Consider the following 15,571-nt stretch of genomic DNA (forward strand, 5'->3'; position numbering starts at 1 on the left):
AAGGGAACAAGCTCCCTTGGGCCTCTTTTATAAGGGCATTAATTCCTTAAAAAAGGTGGAGCCCTCATCACCTAATCGTCTTCCACAGTCCCCAACTCTTAATACTATTGTATTGGGGATCAGGTATCAACACAATTCTGGGGAAACATGAACATTCAGGCCAGGGTTCCAGCCTGGAAGTGAGCACCCTTTTTGCTCACATTCTGTTGATGAGAACTTAGGGCTGTGGTCACATCTAACTGCCACGGAGGCTGACTAATGTGGTTCTTAGCCAGGTTCGCACATGCTCAAATCCAACTGTATTACTGAGGAAGAAAGAGAATATATAATTTCATAAATTACCAGCAGTCTCTGTAGCTTTCAAAACTATGTCAACCCAAAAGTTTGTATTTTTCCTCTGCCAGTCCCTTCTTGTGACAATGTCTTTTTAGCAGCATTTCTCCACTATTTACCATCTCTCCCTCACTCTTCTTTCCCCTCCTTCTTTCTTTCCCTCAACACACCCCTCACTCTCACTGTTTTACCTCTTCCCTCACTGAGTACAGAATCCCTAGGATAAACAGGATGGAGTTTCCAAGTTCCATGGGTCAGGACACACCAGACTGGGTTATGGATAAGGACAATGGTATACATTCCTGCCTTCTTTGCCTACACTAGCCCATGAGCACTTCACCCATGCTAAGCCATCTTCGGCCCAAATGGCCCTTGAGCATGCATTTGAAAAACAGGTGGAAGATAAAACAAGAAGCATGCATTGGTTTTGCAGGTGGAAGACCTAGATTTCATGTCCTGCCAGTTACTAATTGTGTGGTCCTGAGTAGGTCTCCTCACTTCTGCTCTGAGTATCTCTTCATTGAAAAAATGGAGCAAATGCAATTTCACCTGCAAACCCCAGAGTTTTTATGAGGCTGAAGCAGGATAATGTTTGGCAAGAGCTTTTTATATTTTCAAGTATTTTTCTTTAATTTAAGCATATTTATTTTATAGTCTGAATTTTATAATTTCAATAGCTGAGGTCTTCTGAAGGTCTAATTCTGCTGTTTGTTTTATCTGCTGATTTTTCACTCAAGGTGGTTTATTTTATCGTGTACCTTGTAATTGTAGGTTGTGAGCTCATATTCACAACCTCTCTCTGTGAGAATCCTGTTAAGTATGACTTAAAAGCGTCAGCTTCAGGGCTGGGCGTAGTGGCTCATGCCTGTAATCCCAGCACTTTGGGAGGCTGAGATGGGCAGATCACTTGAGGTCAGGAGTTTGAGACCAGCCTGGGTAATATGGTGAAACCCCATCTCTACCAAACATACAAAAAAAATTAGCCAGGAGTGGTGGCACATGCCTGTAGTCCCAGCTACTTGGGAGGCTGAGGCAGAAGGATTGCTTGAGCCTGGGAGAAGGAGGTTGCAGTGAGCTGAGATCATGCCAGTGCATTCCAGCCTGGGCTACAGAGCCACTCTGTCTTAAAAAAAAAAAAAAAGTGTCAGCTTCAAAGAGGATTAACATTAACACTCCTGAGTGCTACCAACCTGATCCCACTTTGTAAGTAAATTTCTCAGTTTGGAGTTTTCCAAATCACATATGCAGTCTACCTTAAAACCCCAACCCTCAGAGGAGAAGAGCCTATGACTCTATGATTCCAAATTCTCAGTGAAGGCTGGTTTTTTTCAACTCAGAGCCCAGATCAAGACAGACATATTTCCTTCAGTCCCTCTTTGCTGATGAGTCTACTTTTCCCTCCAAATGTAACCTTTCAAGGATCTAGATTTTATGCTGTGGTCTCACTTCCACCTTCTCACATTGCTTGAGTCCCCATGTGGACTTTAAAATTCAAGACTCTGTGAAGTAACTGAGCTAATGCCTCAAGGGGAGCTTTCACCCTCAGTGTCATCTTAGCATTCTTACTTCCTGTTCTCTTCTCATTTGGGACCCCTGAAGATTGCCATCATTTTCCTGTGAGTTTAGCGCTCACAAGAAGGGTGTTTGTTGTATTTTGTCCAGCATTTCTAGGTGTTGTGCAGTGGGAGGGCTTCTCAGGATGGCCAATGGACTCTGAAATCTCACTGTCTTTCATGCGTTCTTTAATTCCTTTTTCTAATTTTTCCCTTTTCCTCTCTTGTCCTTCCTGTCTCTTGCTCCTTCTCTCCACATTTATCTGCCGGATCTCAGCTGCTGGCACTGTGTGTTCTCAGGGGATACTCTGTCAGGTGTTTTTCAAGGCTCCTGGCTGACCCTCCCCAGCTTCTCCCTTTGGTTCTCTAGCTCCAGACCCCTAACATGGCCACTAAACACCCCCAGCAGGCACCCCACTGCCCCAGATCTGTGCCGTTGGGCTTTATCTTCCGTGCAAACTTGTCAGCATCCCTTTTTATTCATCCAGAGCTCTTCATTCCATCACTATTCAACTTGTCAAAATGTGCTCAGCCAGGAACAAGTTTAGGTCAGAGATTTTAATAATCTCTTCAGAGCTTTCCTCTTTTGAATCATTGTGAATATTATGCATCAGAAAAACTCCAGATTTTGAGCCTCAGACTGGGAGGCACAATTAGGTGCTCAGAGAGGCCAGAATTTGGCCAACTTCTCATTCCCCAAATGGACTCAAGGAATATGAGAGAATTCTGAATGAGAGAGCAGGCAAAATTACCCAAGAGGGAATGAGGCTCTTTGGCTCTAATTTGAGGGTCATTTTTCTTCTTGCTGGCACTTCTCTTCCCCCTGGATTGGGCCCCAAGACCATTCAAGCAGGCTTCTAAGAAGGATTCACTGAAGTGATTTCCCTAGAGGATTGACAGGGACTTTGAAATGTGCTGCCTCTTTTAGAGACTTTGCCTGGTAAGAGGAGGCAAAACCTTAAACCAAAAGGACAAGGAAAAGGAAATCAAACATTGGGGATCGGGGGCCTCCTTCCCAAGGCTACTAGAAGGCTGCCTCTGGATACTCCAGTGTAGAGGCACTGTGACCCCCGCCCACTTCCTCTGCAGTGTCTCATCTGATGCTCATGACCACCCTGTTGACATCATGTAGCTCATGTTTTGTGGGAAACAGGCTGAGCAAGGCAACAGAGGTCCTGTATTGGCTAAGTGCTGAGCCTCATTTAGACTCCAAGCCGGACTTTGAGAAAACCTGTTGATATGGTCAGGCTTTCTGTGCGCACTCAAATCTCATCTTGAATTGTAATCCCCGCATGTGGAGGGAGGGACTTGTAATCCCCACATGTCAAGGGAGGGAGGTGATTGGATCATGGGGGGGTTTCCCCCATGCTATTCTCACAATAGTGAGTTCTCAGGAGATCATATGGTTTTATAAGTGTTTGACAGTCCCTCCTACATGTGCTTTCTTCTCTCTCTTGCCACCGTGTGAAGGTCTTTGCTTCCCCTTCCCCTTTTGCCATGATTGTAAGTTTCCTGAGGTCTCCCCAGCCATGTGGAACTGTGAGTCAATTAAACCTCTTTCCTTTGTAAATTACCTAGTCTTGGATATTTCTTTATAGCCATGTGAAAATGGACTAATACATCTGTCCTCTACCTACCATGCCCAGTCCTCTCCAGGATGCCACAAGATGGGTTGGAAGGCCGATTACTGCAATTGTCCAGGAAAGAGCTGACATCTGTACATCACACTCCAAGAGGCAGCAGACACAGGGGTGAAGCCCAAGGGCTCTAGAGCCAGACAGGCCAAGTTCAAATTCCAACTGTACCACTGAACTAGCTGAGCAACATTGGGCGATGCTTTACTCCAACCACCACTCCTAGCCTTTCCTCCCCGGCAGCCCGTGGAGACTAAAACACCAACCAAATCATTTCACTCCTCTGGTCTCAACTTTCCAACAGCTTCTCATCACTTCTAGAATAAAATCCAAGTGCCTCCTCAAAGCCTTCCAGGCCTACAGCAGAGGCAGCCAGTGCTCACCAAACTCTACATTCTCCTCTTTGTCCCAGGCTCCCTGCTGTGCCACATTTCTCTGCTTCTTTGCGTGGGTGGGGTGATGGTGGATGCGGAGACTTATGCCTTATTCTTGTCAATGGAGTGTGAGTGGAGGTGACATGTGTTAACCCAGGTCGAAGTGGTTGAGAGCAGTGTGCCTTCTCCACACTTTCCCCACATGCCAGCTGGATGGACATCCAGTGAGGACCCTGAGGAAATGGCAGAGTCACACAGTGGAAGATGCCTGGATCCCCAAGTATGCGAATCAGAACTCCTGTACCTGTCTTGTGACAACACTAACTGAACTACTACACAAGCAAAAATTGATTCTTTATTGTGTCACGTCACTGAAACTTGGGTTTTTTTTTTTTTTTTTTACAGCAGCTGGCTTATCCTAACACGAGGCCCTACATCAGTCGACCTCAGTCCAAACCCATGCCTGCTCACCCTCTCCCTCACTGTGCCCCACCACACCACCTTCTCGTAGCTCCTCAGACTCCAAGCTCATTCCCATCTAGTGCCTTGGCCAGGCCGTGTTCCCTCCTCCTGGAATGCTCTTCCACAAAGCTTTACATGATGTTTTTTCTCAGTTTTGCCAGATTTCTGGTCAAATTTTATCTCCTCAGAGGGAGAAGCCCCGACTCCCCTTTTAGGCAGGCCCACCCTCACCAGGCATCACCTTCCCTGTGCTATTTTTCTCCAGAGAAGTTATCAATGACTTACCAGTCTATCAGAAATATGTCTTTGTTAAAATATTTATTATATAGCTCCTCCCTGTGTCTGTCTATCCTGGTGTCTAGAAGAGTGACTGGCACATAGTAAGTCCTCAATAAATATTCTCTGAGTGGATCAATGATCACTGTTTTCTCTGCATCTTTATCCATTTCTCTTTCCTTTTTCTCCTCTGTAAGTTGAGTGTTGTATGCTGAAGACAAAAGGGGATAATGCAGGTTAGTGTGGAACATCCTGGCACAACAGATGTCTGGGAACTGCAGATTCTGTCCTATGTAGGGATAGCTCCACAAGAAAGCCCAGGCTAGTGTCCATGGGTTGCCTGCACCAGAGCCCAGGAGGGTGGTTTAAGCAGGAAGGTTCTTGTTGCTGCCCTCCCAAGAGAGGGAGTGGGGCTGAGCCAGCTGTGGAGCTTGGGGCTGGCTGCCAGCTGCTGAGGTTGACAGCCACATGGAACTTCACCGGGGCAGGTAATTGAACTAGTGGAGTGGGCTGACCAAGAGGAGGGGAGCGTTCCCAGCATTGGGGTGATGAGCCATGGAATTGGCATTGGAGTGGCTGTAGTCACAAGTGGAAGGAATTCATCTGCTGGCACATCCAGCCTGCAGGGAGAGGACCCAGGGGCGCCTGCACTTGTGGCCTGGAGGGAGATGGACAACTTCTGGGGTGCCCTCTGGTTGTTGGAGATGGAGGGCATTGAAGGAGGAGGGGACGGCACATGCGAAGGCATGGAGTTGTGAAATGAGTGCTTGGCAGTTAGAATGGTGAAGTGAGGTAGTGCTGGTGGCCCTAGGATGTAGGTGGAATCAGGACTTGACCCCAGAAAAGCCACATGTGGGGAAAGGGTGAGCGCTGGGCTAGGAGCCAGGAGACCTGACTTTCCACTCCCAGGTCTACCACGATCCATGTATCCTTGAGCTCAAGTGTATCCATGATCCTGCTCAGGTGTTTCACTGCATGACACACAGATGAGGAAACTGAGGCACAGAGAAAGTGATACACAGTTGCATAGTCACTTTCTCTGTGCCTCAGTTACCTCATCTGTCAAACTGATGATAGTTCCCCTCACATGGGGGTGAGGAGAAGAAGAATAAAAAGTGGATGCCTATGCAATTTTCTCCTCACAATGTTTTCAGTTATTATGACTGAGAGGTGGCCAGGAGGAGCTGAGGAATTCCCCTAGGACTTGTGTGTTGGGAGGGCCAAGGGCCAACTGGAAGTGACTGTTGCTGAGAAGAGAGTGGGAGAAAACAGCAGGAGGAAAGCCAACGTGGAGAGGTGGGGGAAGGGAGGAGCTGGAAGCAGTTCCAGCAGGAGACCAAATGTGGGCAGTGGCAGGAGTGTTGATGTTTCCTGGCAGGTGCAGTCCAGTTGCTTTCTATGCCTGCAGTGTGCAAGTGGATTGGGTCCTTGTGCTTGTCCGTGGACCAAGCACAAACATTCTGGTTGCATCTCCATCTAGGTACACGGTAGGATTGCATCCTCCATGCTTTTGAAGTTCTGCCTGCCCACGTGACTTGCTTTAACAAATGATGTGAGTGGAAGTGGTACATGTCACTTCCGGGTGGAAGGTTGAAAAGCTTGTGCCTGATTCACCTTTGAGGCTGATTCTGTCAGTGTCCCTTGGACCCTCCCTGCTGAATTCTACCTGCCAGTGTCTGCATCTCTGTGCCTGAGGGATTTCTCCAGGCCCAAAAAAGACAGCTCAGCCTACATGCACTACCAGCCAGAAGTGCAGGGGAATTACACATTATCACCTTCATCAGCTCTCAGTCAGTGACTCTGGGGAATTGAGACACAAATACCCAGGCTCCCTCGCTCCATGCTGCAGGTGGGATCACTCTGCAGTATGTGCTCCTCACTCTTTCCCTGGGGTATCCCACGGGATTAAGTTCATTCACCCACAGAGGTACCTGGCTTCATATGCATCTTGTATTAGCTGCTTTCCCTTCCCAGTTGCACTTTTCTACTTGATACCAGTGTTTCCTGCACCTCCCAAATAAACGATTGCGCTCACACTGTTGTTTCTGGATCAGCCATGTTCCTCTTTCCTGCTGTCATGACAGTCCGTTGGCCAACCAACTGGCAATTTCCCTGGGGGTGGCTACTCTGTCATTCCAGGCCTTGGGGTAAGGATGAGTAAAAGCTGGTGGACTTATCATGGGCAGGTGGCATGAGTCAGAAACCCATTGAAATTTGGGGGCTGCTTGTTACTACAGCCCAACCTCACCCACCCTGACTGATACAGCCCCTGGCTTCTCACCAAACACCAAAATGATGCATCTAATTTAAGGCATCTTATGAGAAGGAAGGAAGGAAGGAAGAAGGGAAAGGAAGGAAGGAAGGAAGGAAGGAAGGAAGGAAGGAAGGAAGGAAGGAAGGAAGGAGACAGAAGAGACAGAGAACATTTGTGAGTGTGCATGTGTGTGTGCACACTGGGGCAGAATGGAAGGGAAGAGAGGGACAAGTTTGAAGGGAAGACTGGGACAGGAAAAGAGGTGCCCAAGAACCCACTGGAGAGGAGACTTAGAAAGGATAAAAGAACAAGAGGCCCAGATATACAGTGAGAAGAATCCCAGGTCACACAGCAAGTCAGGGGTTGAATTAAGCCTAGGACTTGGGCTTCCCAACTTCCAATCTAGCGCTCTTTCCTCTGAGCTCACTTCCTCCAGAAGGCCCATGGCTGGAATGTCCCTTCTTTCAAGCTCCCTGGGATTGTAGAAAGAAGCACACAGCCCATGGTTCATGGGACCCTAATTACCTCTAGCTGCCACCTTGTTCTCACATCTGGATGACAGAGGCACATCTGTATCACACTGGGCTACAGGCTGGCCTCTGAAGGGTCCATGGGAATGAAAGTTAAGGTTCTTTTGCTTGAAAGCAACACAGATAAACTTTAGCCAGCTCAAGCCACAAGAGGGGATGAACTGGAGAGTGTATTAGGCCATTCTTTGTGTTGCTATAAATAAATACCTGAGGCTGAGTAATTTATAAAGAAAAGAGGTTTGGTTGACTTGTGGTTCTTCTGGCTGTACAAACATAGCCCCAGCATCTGTTCAGCTTCTGGGGAGGCCTCAGGGAACTTTCATTCATGGCAGAAAGCAAAGCAGAAGTAGGCACATCATAGGGCAAAAGCAGGAGCAAGAGGGAGAGTGGATTGTAGGGTGTGCCACACATTCAAACAACCAGATCTAATGAGCACTCACTCACTATCACAAGGACAATACCAGGCCATGAGCAATCTGCCCCCATGACCCAAATACCTCTCACCAGACCCCACCTTCAACATTGGGAATTACAATTCAACATGAGATTTGGCAGGGCCATATATTCAAACTATATCAGGGAGAGACTATGGCTTTTAGCTAACAACATAGGCCTTGGGAGGAAGAGCAACAGAAGCAGCTCTGGAAACCATGGTGCTCTTGTTTGCTCACTGTACAGATAAAACCAATCCACTGAGACAGCAGTACCGCAGTAGAGAAAGAGTTTAATAATCACAGGGCTAGTTAAGTGGAAGGATGGGAGTTTATTACTCAAATCACCCTCCCCAAAAGCTCAAAGGTTAGGGTTTTTCAAAGATAGTTTGGCAGTCAAGGGGCTAGGGAATGGGGGATGCTGATTGGTTGGGCCAGGGATGAAATTACAGAGGGTTGAAGCTGTCTTCTTGTGTTGAGTCAGTTCCTGGGTGGAAGTCACAGAAGCAGTTGAATTAGTTCCTTGGTATGAGTTATGGGCCCAGGTGAAGTCAGTCTGTTACTAGAATGCAAAAGTCCAAAAAATATCTCAAAGACCAATCTTTCATTTTTACAATAGTGATGTCATCTATCAGAGCAATTGGGGAATTTACAAATATTGTGATCTCTGGAGCAGTAAATGATTACAGAAATTCAAGCTAGGGAACAATGGCTGGTTATCATTTAACTACACCTGCATCTTAGCAGAATTCAGGCCTCTCCTATGATCCTAATCTTGTGGACTTTCATTAGTCTTACAAAGGCAGTTTTGTTTTTTTTTGTTTTTTGAGACGACGTTTTGCTCTGTTGCCCAGGCTAGAGTGCAGTGGCACTATCTCGGCTCACTACAACTTCTGCCTCCTGGGTTCAAGTGATTCTTCTGCCTCAGCCTCTGGAGTAGCTAGAATTACAGGCATGCACCACCATGTCCAGCTAATTTTTGTATTTTTAGCAGAGACAAGGTTTCACCATGTTGGCCAGGCTAGTCTGGAACTCCTGACCTCAAGTAATCCATCTGCCTCGGCCTCCCAAAGTGCTGGGATTACAGGCGTGAGCCGCCATACACAGCCTTACAGAGGCAGTTTTGGTCATCAAGCAAGAAGGGGGTTAGTTTTGGGAAGGGATTGTTATCATCTCTGTTTTAAAGTTAACAAAGGCAGTTAGCTTGTGAAGTTGGAGTCAGTTAGCTTAGATTTCTCTCACTGATGCACTTTTTGTAAAGGTGGTTTCACCCTGTGCCCATGGACCTTCCTTCCAGGGGTCACCATTTATGCCTCTCACCTGCTATGTCTCTCAGGTTAAAAGTTCACATTCCTAGGAGAAAAGAATCTGACTGGCAAGCTTCAGTCAGATGCTCTTTGGTCCAGTGAGCTAAGCCCCGGGGTTTTAGCTGGGACCCATGGTTGAGGATGGCCAGTTCCTGGAGAATGGGAGAGGGCACTGTGTGTGAGGCAGACAATGGGGAGTCATGTTTGTGAATGGAGTCTTCTGCCAGTGACTCATATCTCCTCTCAGAAGGTCCTCCTCTTCCTTTTTCCAGACAGCAGGGTTTTCTGTCACTTGATTCAACCCTTACTGAGGCTGTAATTGATGTCTCACAGGTACCGGCCTCTGTGGAGGATTCTGAGATGAAGACAGTCCTCACACCCCTGTGAAGACGAGTGAGTTCACCAAGCACAGCCACGCAAGGTTGAGGGGCCTGGAGCCCTGGGAGAGCCTGGCTGTGGGGGGGTCTGTCGCTGCCAGCTCTGCCTCTTGGTCTCTCCACCCAGACGGGAGATGATCAGGACTGACCAAACTGAGCCACCCAACACAGTCTCTTGTGGACAGGGAAGGCTTCAGCTTTGCCAAGAATTCCAGAGCTGGATTTTATTGACTCATCATACTTGAGATTATGTCAGTGGAGTCCTTTCTGGAGAGGGAGGCCTGCCCTTTGACCTAGCTGTAGAATTGCCCCAGCATTCCCTTAGCTCAATCCCTCCCCTGACCCCCACGCCCTTGGGACTCTCTGTGGCTGTCTCTAGGCCAAAATATCCTCCCACTGTTCAGGAGGGGCCTGGCCAGAGACTCTGTTGTTATTTTCACACCTGTTCTTATAACAATCCCTGCGGAAGAAAAGAAAAATGTCACCTAGATAAAGACAAAAAGCATAAAAAAGAAAAAAGAAAAAAAAAGAGTGACATTTGGAAAAGTTTAGACAGGAATGGCCTGGCCGGGGCTGAAATTGGGAGGAGGGAGAAGGTCAGAGGCTGGGGGATTAGGGACATCTGAGTGCTGACTTGGAAACAGGGGACTCTGGGTTTCTCTTTCATAAGGACCAAAGGCTGCTCATATATGCTAAGCACCTTTCATTCATTGTCTCACCAACAACCATAGGAGGCAGTTACTATTATTAACTCAGATAGAAATAGGGAAACTGAGGTTCAGGGAGGTTAAGTAATTTCCCAGGGTCTCATATTCAGCCTGGACACCGTCTCATATCTGGCTCTAAATAGTAGCCTCTAAGGCTCATTGGATTGGCACTTGCCTCCCAGGACCCCTGTGGTTATGAGATTCAGAGTCCTGAGATGTCTGAGCTGGTCAAAAGCTTTGGGTAATCTTTAAATAAGCAGCTGTGCCTTGCTAAGAGAATGGGAGGCTCCTGGAGAATAGGGTGGCCAACTAGAAAGAAACTAGCTTGGAAGTAAGAAATGACTGGGTCCCATACCAAGCCTGCCTCTTATTACCATGTTACCTCGAACAACTGACTTTACTTGTGTGAGCCTCAGTTTTCTCCTCTGAAAAATGGACTAATAACATTTACACTGGAGTGTGCTATCCAGTGCAGCTCAGGTGCTCCATAAGTGAAAAGATGGTTCCTACCTTATTGCTTCCTTGGGATCTTCCTCCCCAGCACGTAGGCTTTCAGAGCCTCAGTACCATCTCTGATGACTTTTTTGCCAGGGCTCATCAGATGGGGTAGAACTTTCTGATCAGGAACCCACAGCGCACACACACACACAAGCCTCCCCTCATCCTGCGTACAGAGCCAGCTTTGCTCGGGCTTCTGGGAAAGGGGAGTATGGGGATTACTTATTGACTCCAGTATCCAAACCACTGGCTGGACAAGAATGCAGCCAGCCTCAGGAATGACTTAAACCAGGGACTCTGGGGCCACCAGGCATCCCTCCTACTGCCTGGTTCTCTAGGTGTCAGCTCCCTGCTTAGTTAGATAGCTTCTCCCGTGCTGCTGGTCCAAGGCCTAATACTCTCAGTTTCATCACAGTAGACAAAACTCCAATTCCAGTTACAACCAACCAACCAACCAATAGGAGAAGACTCCAATTGGCTAGGCTTGAATTACCCATCACCTTCTCAACCAATTATTGAAACTCAGAGGTAGAAAGGTACTATGATTGGTCAGGGCTGGATCAGGTGATCACACCCAGGCCAATAATTGTTCCAAAATGGCCACTTTACATTTAGATCGCCTAACTAGAATGGGAATGCACAGTGCTTTGCAGAAAACAGTGGTGAAAGTTCATGACTGGCCCGGGCAACTGATATGGTTAGGCTTTGTGTCCCCACCCAAATCTCATCTTGAATTATAATCTCCATAATCCCCACATGTCGAGGGAGAGACCAGGTGGAGATAATTGAATCATGGGGGCAATTCCCCCATGCTGTTCTCGTGATAGTGAGTGAGCTCTCACAAGATCTGATGGTTTTATAAGGGCCTCTTCCCACTTCGCTTGGCACTTCTCCTTCCTGCTGCCTTGTGAAGAAGGTGCCTTGCTTCTCCTTCACCTTCCACCATGATTGTAAGTTTGCCAAGGCTTCCCCAGCTGTGCAGAACCGTGAGTCAATTAAACCTCTTTCCTTTATAAATTACCCAGTCTTGGGCAGTTCTTTATAGCAGTATGAAAACAGACTAATACAGCAACATAGTGAGATGTCATCTCTAACAAATTTAATTAATTTTTAAAGTGGTGAAACGTCCTAGGCAAATGAATAAATATCTTTTACCTTTCAAATCTCAATTCTCTTTCTTTCTAATCATTCCCATCCAATCCTGGAGCACTACACTACTGATATCTTCATTCTGCCATTTCCTGTCCCCTACCCTGGTGTTTAAATCTCTCCACTCTACCTATTGGGCACAGCTGGCCTGATGAATCAACCCAGCCTGCAGGCCTGATGGATTTTCAGAGTTCAAGGAAGTTCTTCCTTTTCCAGCCATCTTAAATGTCTTCCTACCTCTGCCTGCTGTATCAGCAATTTCACTATTGGTGGTTCATTTTTTAGCTTACTATGACTTGTTCCCATTAAAATGCACATCCCTTTGTGAGTATGCACTCACTGTCTGAACAATTATTTATGATTAGTATTAGTGCTTTATCAGCTTTTTTACATTTTGGTGGGGGAAAGGAGGAGAGACTACAGAGGGCTTACTCGTGTTGGAGGGAGGAAGAGAGGCTGTAGAACCTGGAAGCCAATTCTCCTGATTCAATGAGTCTGTTTCAGGTAAGTCCAGGTGATTGTCGGGAAGCCATGGCCATTCTTATTTTATCTTGGAGAAGCAGCAGCGTTTTATCTTTTTTCTGTCTTCAAAGTTTAAATTTTCTTACCTAAAATTTTAAATTTTGAGGTAATTGGGGAATCCTCTACTCAGTTTCCCATGATAGCAACTTGCAAAACTATAATATTACAACCAAGATATTGATGTTAACACAGTCAGGATACAGAACGTTTCTATCACCATGAGGATCTTCATGTTGCCCTTTTATAGCCATATCTACTTCCCTCCCATCCCTATCTTCTCCTTAACTGATGGCAACCACTGATCTGTTATCCATTTCCATAATGTTGTCATTTCCAGAATGTTATATAAATGGAATCATATGTAACTTTGGGGGATTGGCTTTTCTCACTCAGCATAATTCTCTGGAGATTCATCCAGGTTGTTTTGTGTATCAGTAGTTCTTTCTGACTGTATTAATCCATTCTCACACTGCTATAAAGCTACTACCCGAGACTGGGTAATTTATAAACAAATGAGGTTTAATTGACTCACAGTTCCACATGGCTGGGGAGGCCTCAGGAAACTTACAATCTTGGCAGAAGGGGGAGCAGGCACATATTACACGGCAGCAGGTGAGAGACAGTGAGCAAGTGCAGGGAAAACTGTCTTATAAAACCATTAGATCTCGTGAGAACTCACTATCATGAGAGAAGCATAGGGGAAACTGTCCCTGTGATCCAATCACCTCCTACCAGTTCTCTTCCTCAATACCTCGGGATTACAATTTAAGATGAAATTTGGATGGGGACACAAAGCCTAACAGTGTCACTGAGTATTAGATCATGGTAGGATATACCCCAGTTTATTTAATCATTTCTGTGTTGAAGGACAAGTGGATCATTTTCAGTCTGGGGCTAATACAAATAAATAAAGCATCTATAAACATTTATATACAAGTCTTCATTTCTCTGGGATAAATGCCCAGAAGTACAATTGCTGGGTTGTACAGTAGTTGTATGTTTAGTTTTTGAAAGAAACTGCCAAACTGTTTTCCACGGTGCCTGTACCATTTTACATTCCCACCAGCAATGTATGAGTGACTCAGTTTCTCTGAATCCTTGTCAGCATTTAGTATTATTACTGTTTTATGTTAGCCATCCTGATAGGTACATAGTGATTCTCATTGTGATTGTAACTTGCATTCCCTTAATGATGAACAATGAGCATCTTTTTATGTGCTATTTGCCATATGATGTCTTCTTTGGTGAAATATGTCTTTATGTCTCTTACCTATTTTCTAATTGGATTGTTCGTTTTCTGACTGCTGAGTTTTGAGTGTTCTTTATATATTCTACATACTAGTTCTTTGTTGGATATATGGTTTGCAAATATTTTTCCCAGTATGTAGCTTTTTTTCATCTTTTTAATGCTTTTTAATGGGCCTTTCACAAAACAGAAGCTTTTGTGATGAAGTCCAATTTATTAATTTTTCCTTTTATGGGTGATGCTTTGGGTGTTGAACCTAAGAACTCTTTGCATAGACCTACATCCTGAAGACTTCCTCCTGTTTTTTCAGAAGTTTTATAGTTTTATGTTCTACATTTAAGTTAATGATCCATTTTGAGTTAATTTTAGTATAAGGCGTACGTAAGACTTAGAGGCTTTTTTTTTTTTTAGCACCATTTGTTGAAAAGGCTATTTTCCTCCATTGAATTAGTTTTGTACGTTTGTCAAAAATTAGTTGGGCATATTTGTGTGGGTCTATTTCTGGTTTCTCCATTCTGTTCCATTGATGTATATCTCTCTGCCAATAACATACAGTCTTGTAAGTTATCTTGTATCTTGTATGCCAATAACATTCAGTCTTACTGTAGCTATACAGTGATTACTGTAGCTTGATATGAGATGGACTGATTCCTCCCAATTTATTCTTTTTTTTTTCCAAAATTGCTATTCCTATGGTTTGGATGTTTGTCTCATCTAAATCTCATGTTGAAATTTAATTCTCAATGTTGGAGGTGGGGCCTAATGGGTGTTTTGGTCATAGAGGTGGATCTCTCATGAATAGATTAATGGCCTTCTCTGGAGTGAGTGAGTTCTCATTCAATTAATTCCTGTGAGAGCTGGTTGTTAAAAGAGCCTAGCACACCCTCCTTTTCCTCCTCTCTCTCACAATGCCATCTCTGCACACTCTGGCTCCCTTTTGCCTTCTGCTATGAGCAGAAGTAGCCTGAGGCCCTCGTCGGATGCAGATGCCTAATCTTGAACTTGTAGCCATGAGAATCATGAGCCAAATAAACCATTTTTCTTTAAAAATTACCCAGCCTCTAGTATTTCTTTATAGCAACACAAAACAGACTAAGATAGCTATTCTAGTTCCTTTGTCTTTCCACATAAATTTTAGAGTAATATTGTGTATAGCTACAAAAACTTTTGCAAGATTTTAAAAGGAATTGCATTAAACTCATATATCCTTTTGCGGAGTAAGTCAACATCTTTACTATGTTGAATCTTTCAATCCATGAACATAATACATCTCTCCATTTATTTAGCTGTTCTTTGACTTGTTTAATCTTCTTTTTGTAGTTTTCAGCATACAAATCCTGTAGATTTACACTTAAGTATCTCTTCTTTTTCTTTTTGTAGTTGCACATGGTATTGTATTTTTAATTTTGATATCCAGGTGTTCATTTCTAGTACATAGGAATACAACAGATTTTTGTATGTTTATCTCGTATTCTGTGACCTTGCTGAATTCACTTACTAGTACTAATATTTTGTATATCCCTTGGGAACTTCTACAAAAGCAATCATGTTCTTTTCAAATAGGAACAGTTTTTATTTCTTCCTTTTTAATCTGTATGCCTTTTAATTTCTTGCCTTATTGCACTGGCTAAAACTTTCACAGCACTATGTCATATAAAAGTGGTGACAGCAGACATTTTTGCTTTGTTTTCATCTAAGGCAAAAGCATTCAGTCTTTCACCATTAAGTATAATGTTAGCTGTAGGGTTCTCGTTGATGCTTTTCATCAAGTTGAGAAAGTTCTATTCCAATTTTTCTTTGAATTTTATAATGGATGAGTATTGAATTGTTGTTTAATGGGTGTTGACTTTTCAGCATCAATTGATATAATCATGTTAATGTGGTGGACAACTGGTAAATGGATAAACAAACTGAGCAG

The 15,571-nt window shown here is 44.7% G+C and overlaps 1 protein-coding gene and 1 long non-coding RNA gene across 3 annotated transcripts in view; one reads left to right on the forward strand and one right to left on the reverse strand.

Moving 5' to 3' along the window:
- Nucleotides 1-15,571, forward strand: part of LINC02210-CRHR1 (LINC02210-CRHR1 readthrough) — a 215,483-nt gene that overhangs the window by 103,190 nt on the left and 96,722 nt on the right. The window lies entirely within an intron of this gene.
- Nucleotides 8,121-11,144, reverse strand: LOC107985028 (uncharacterized). Its single transcript, XR_001752915.2, has 2 exons — nucleotides 10,749-11,144; nucleotides 8,121-8,409 (listed from the first exon to the last, which is right to left on the reverse strand). It is a non-coding gene; the product is annotated as an uncharacterized LOC107985028 (long non-coding RNA).

Source organism: Homo sapiens, chromosome 17, assembly GCF_000001405.40.
Source record: "Homo sapiens chromosome 17, GRCh38.p14 Primary Assembly".
Lineage (NCBI taxonomy): Eukaryota > Metazoa > Chordata > Mammalia > Primates > Hominidae > Homo > Homo sapiens.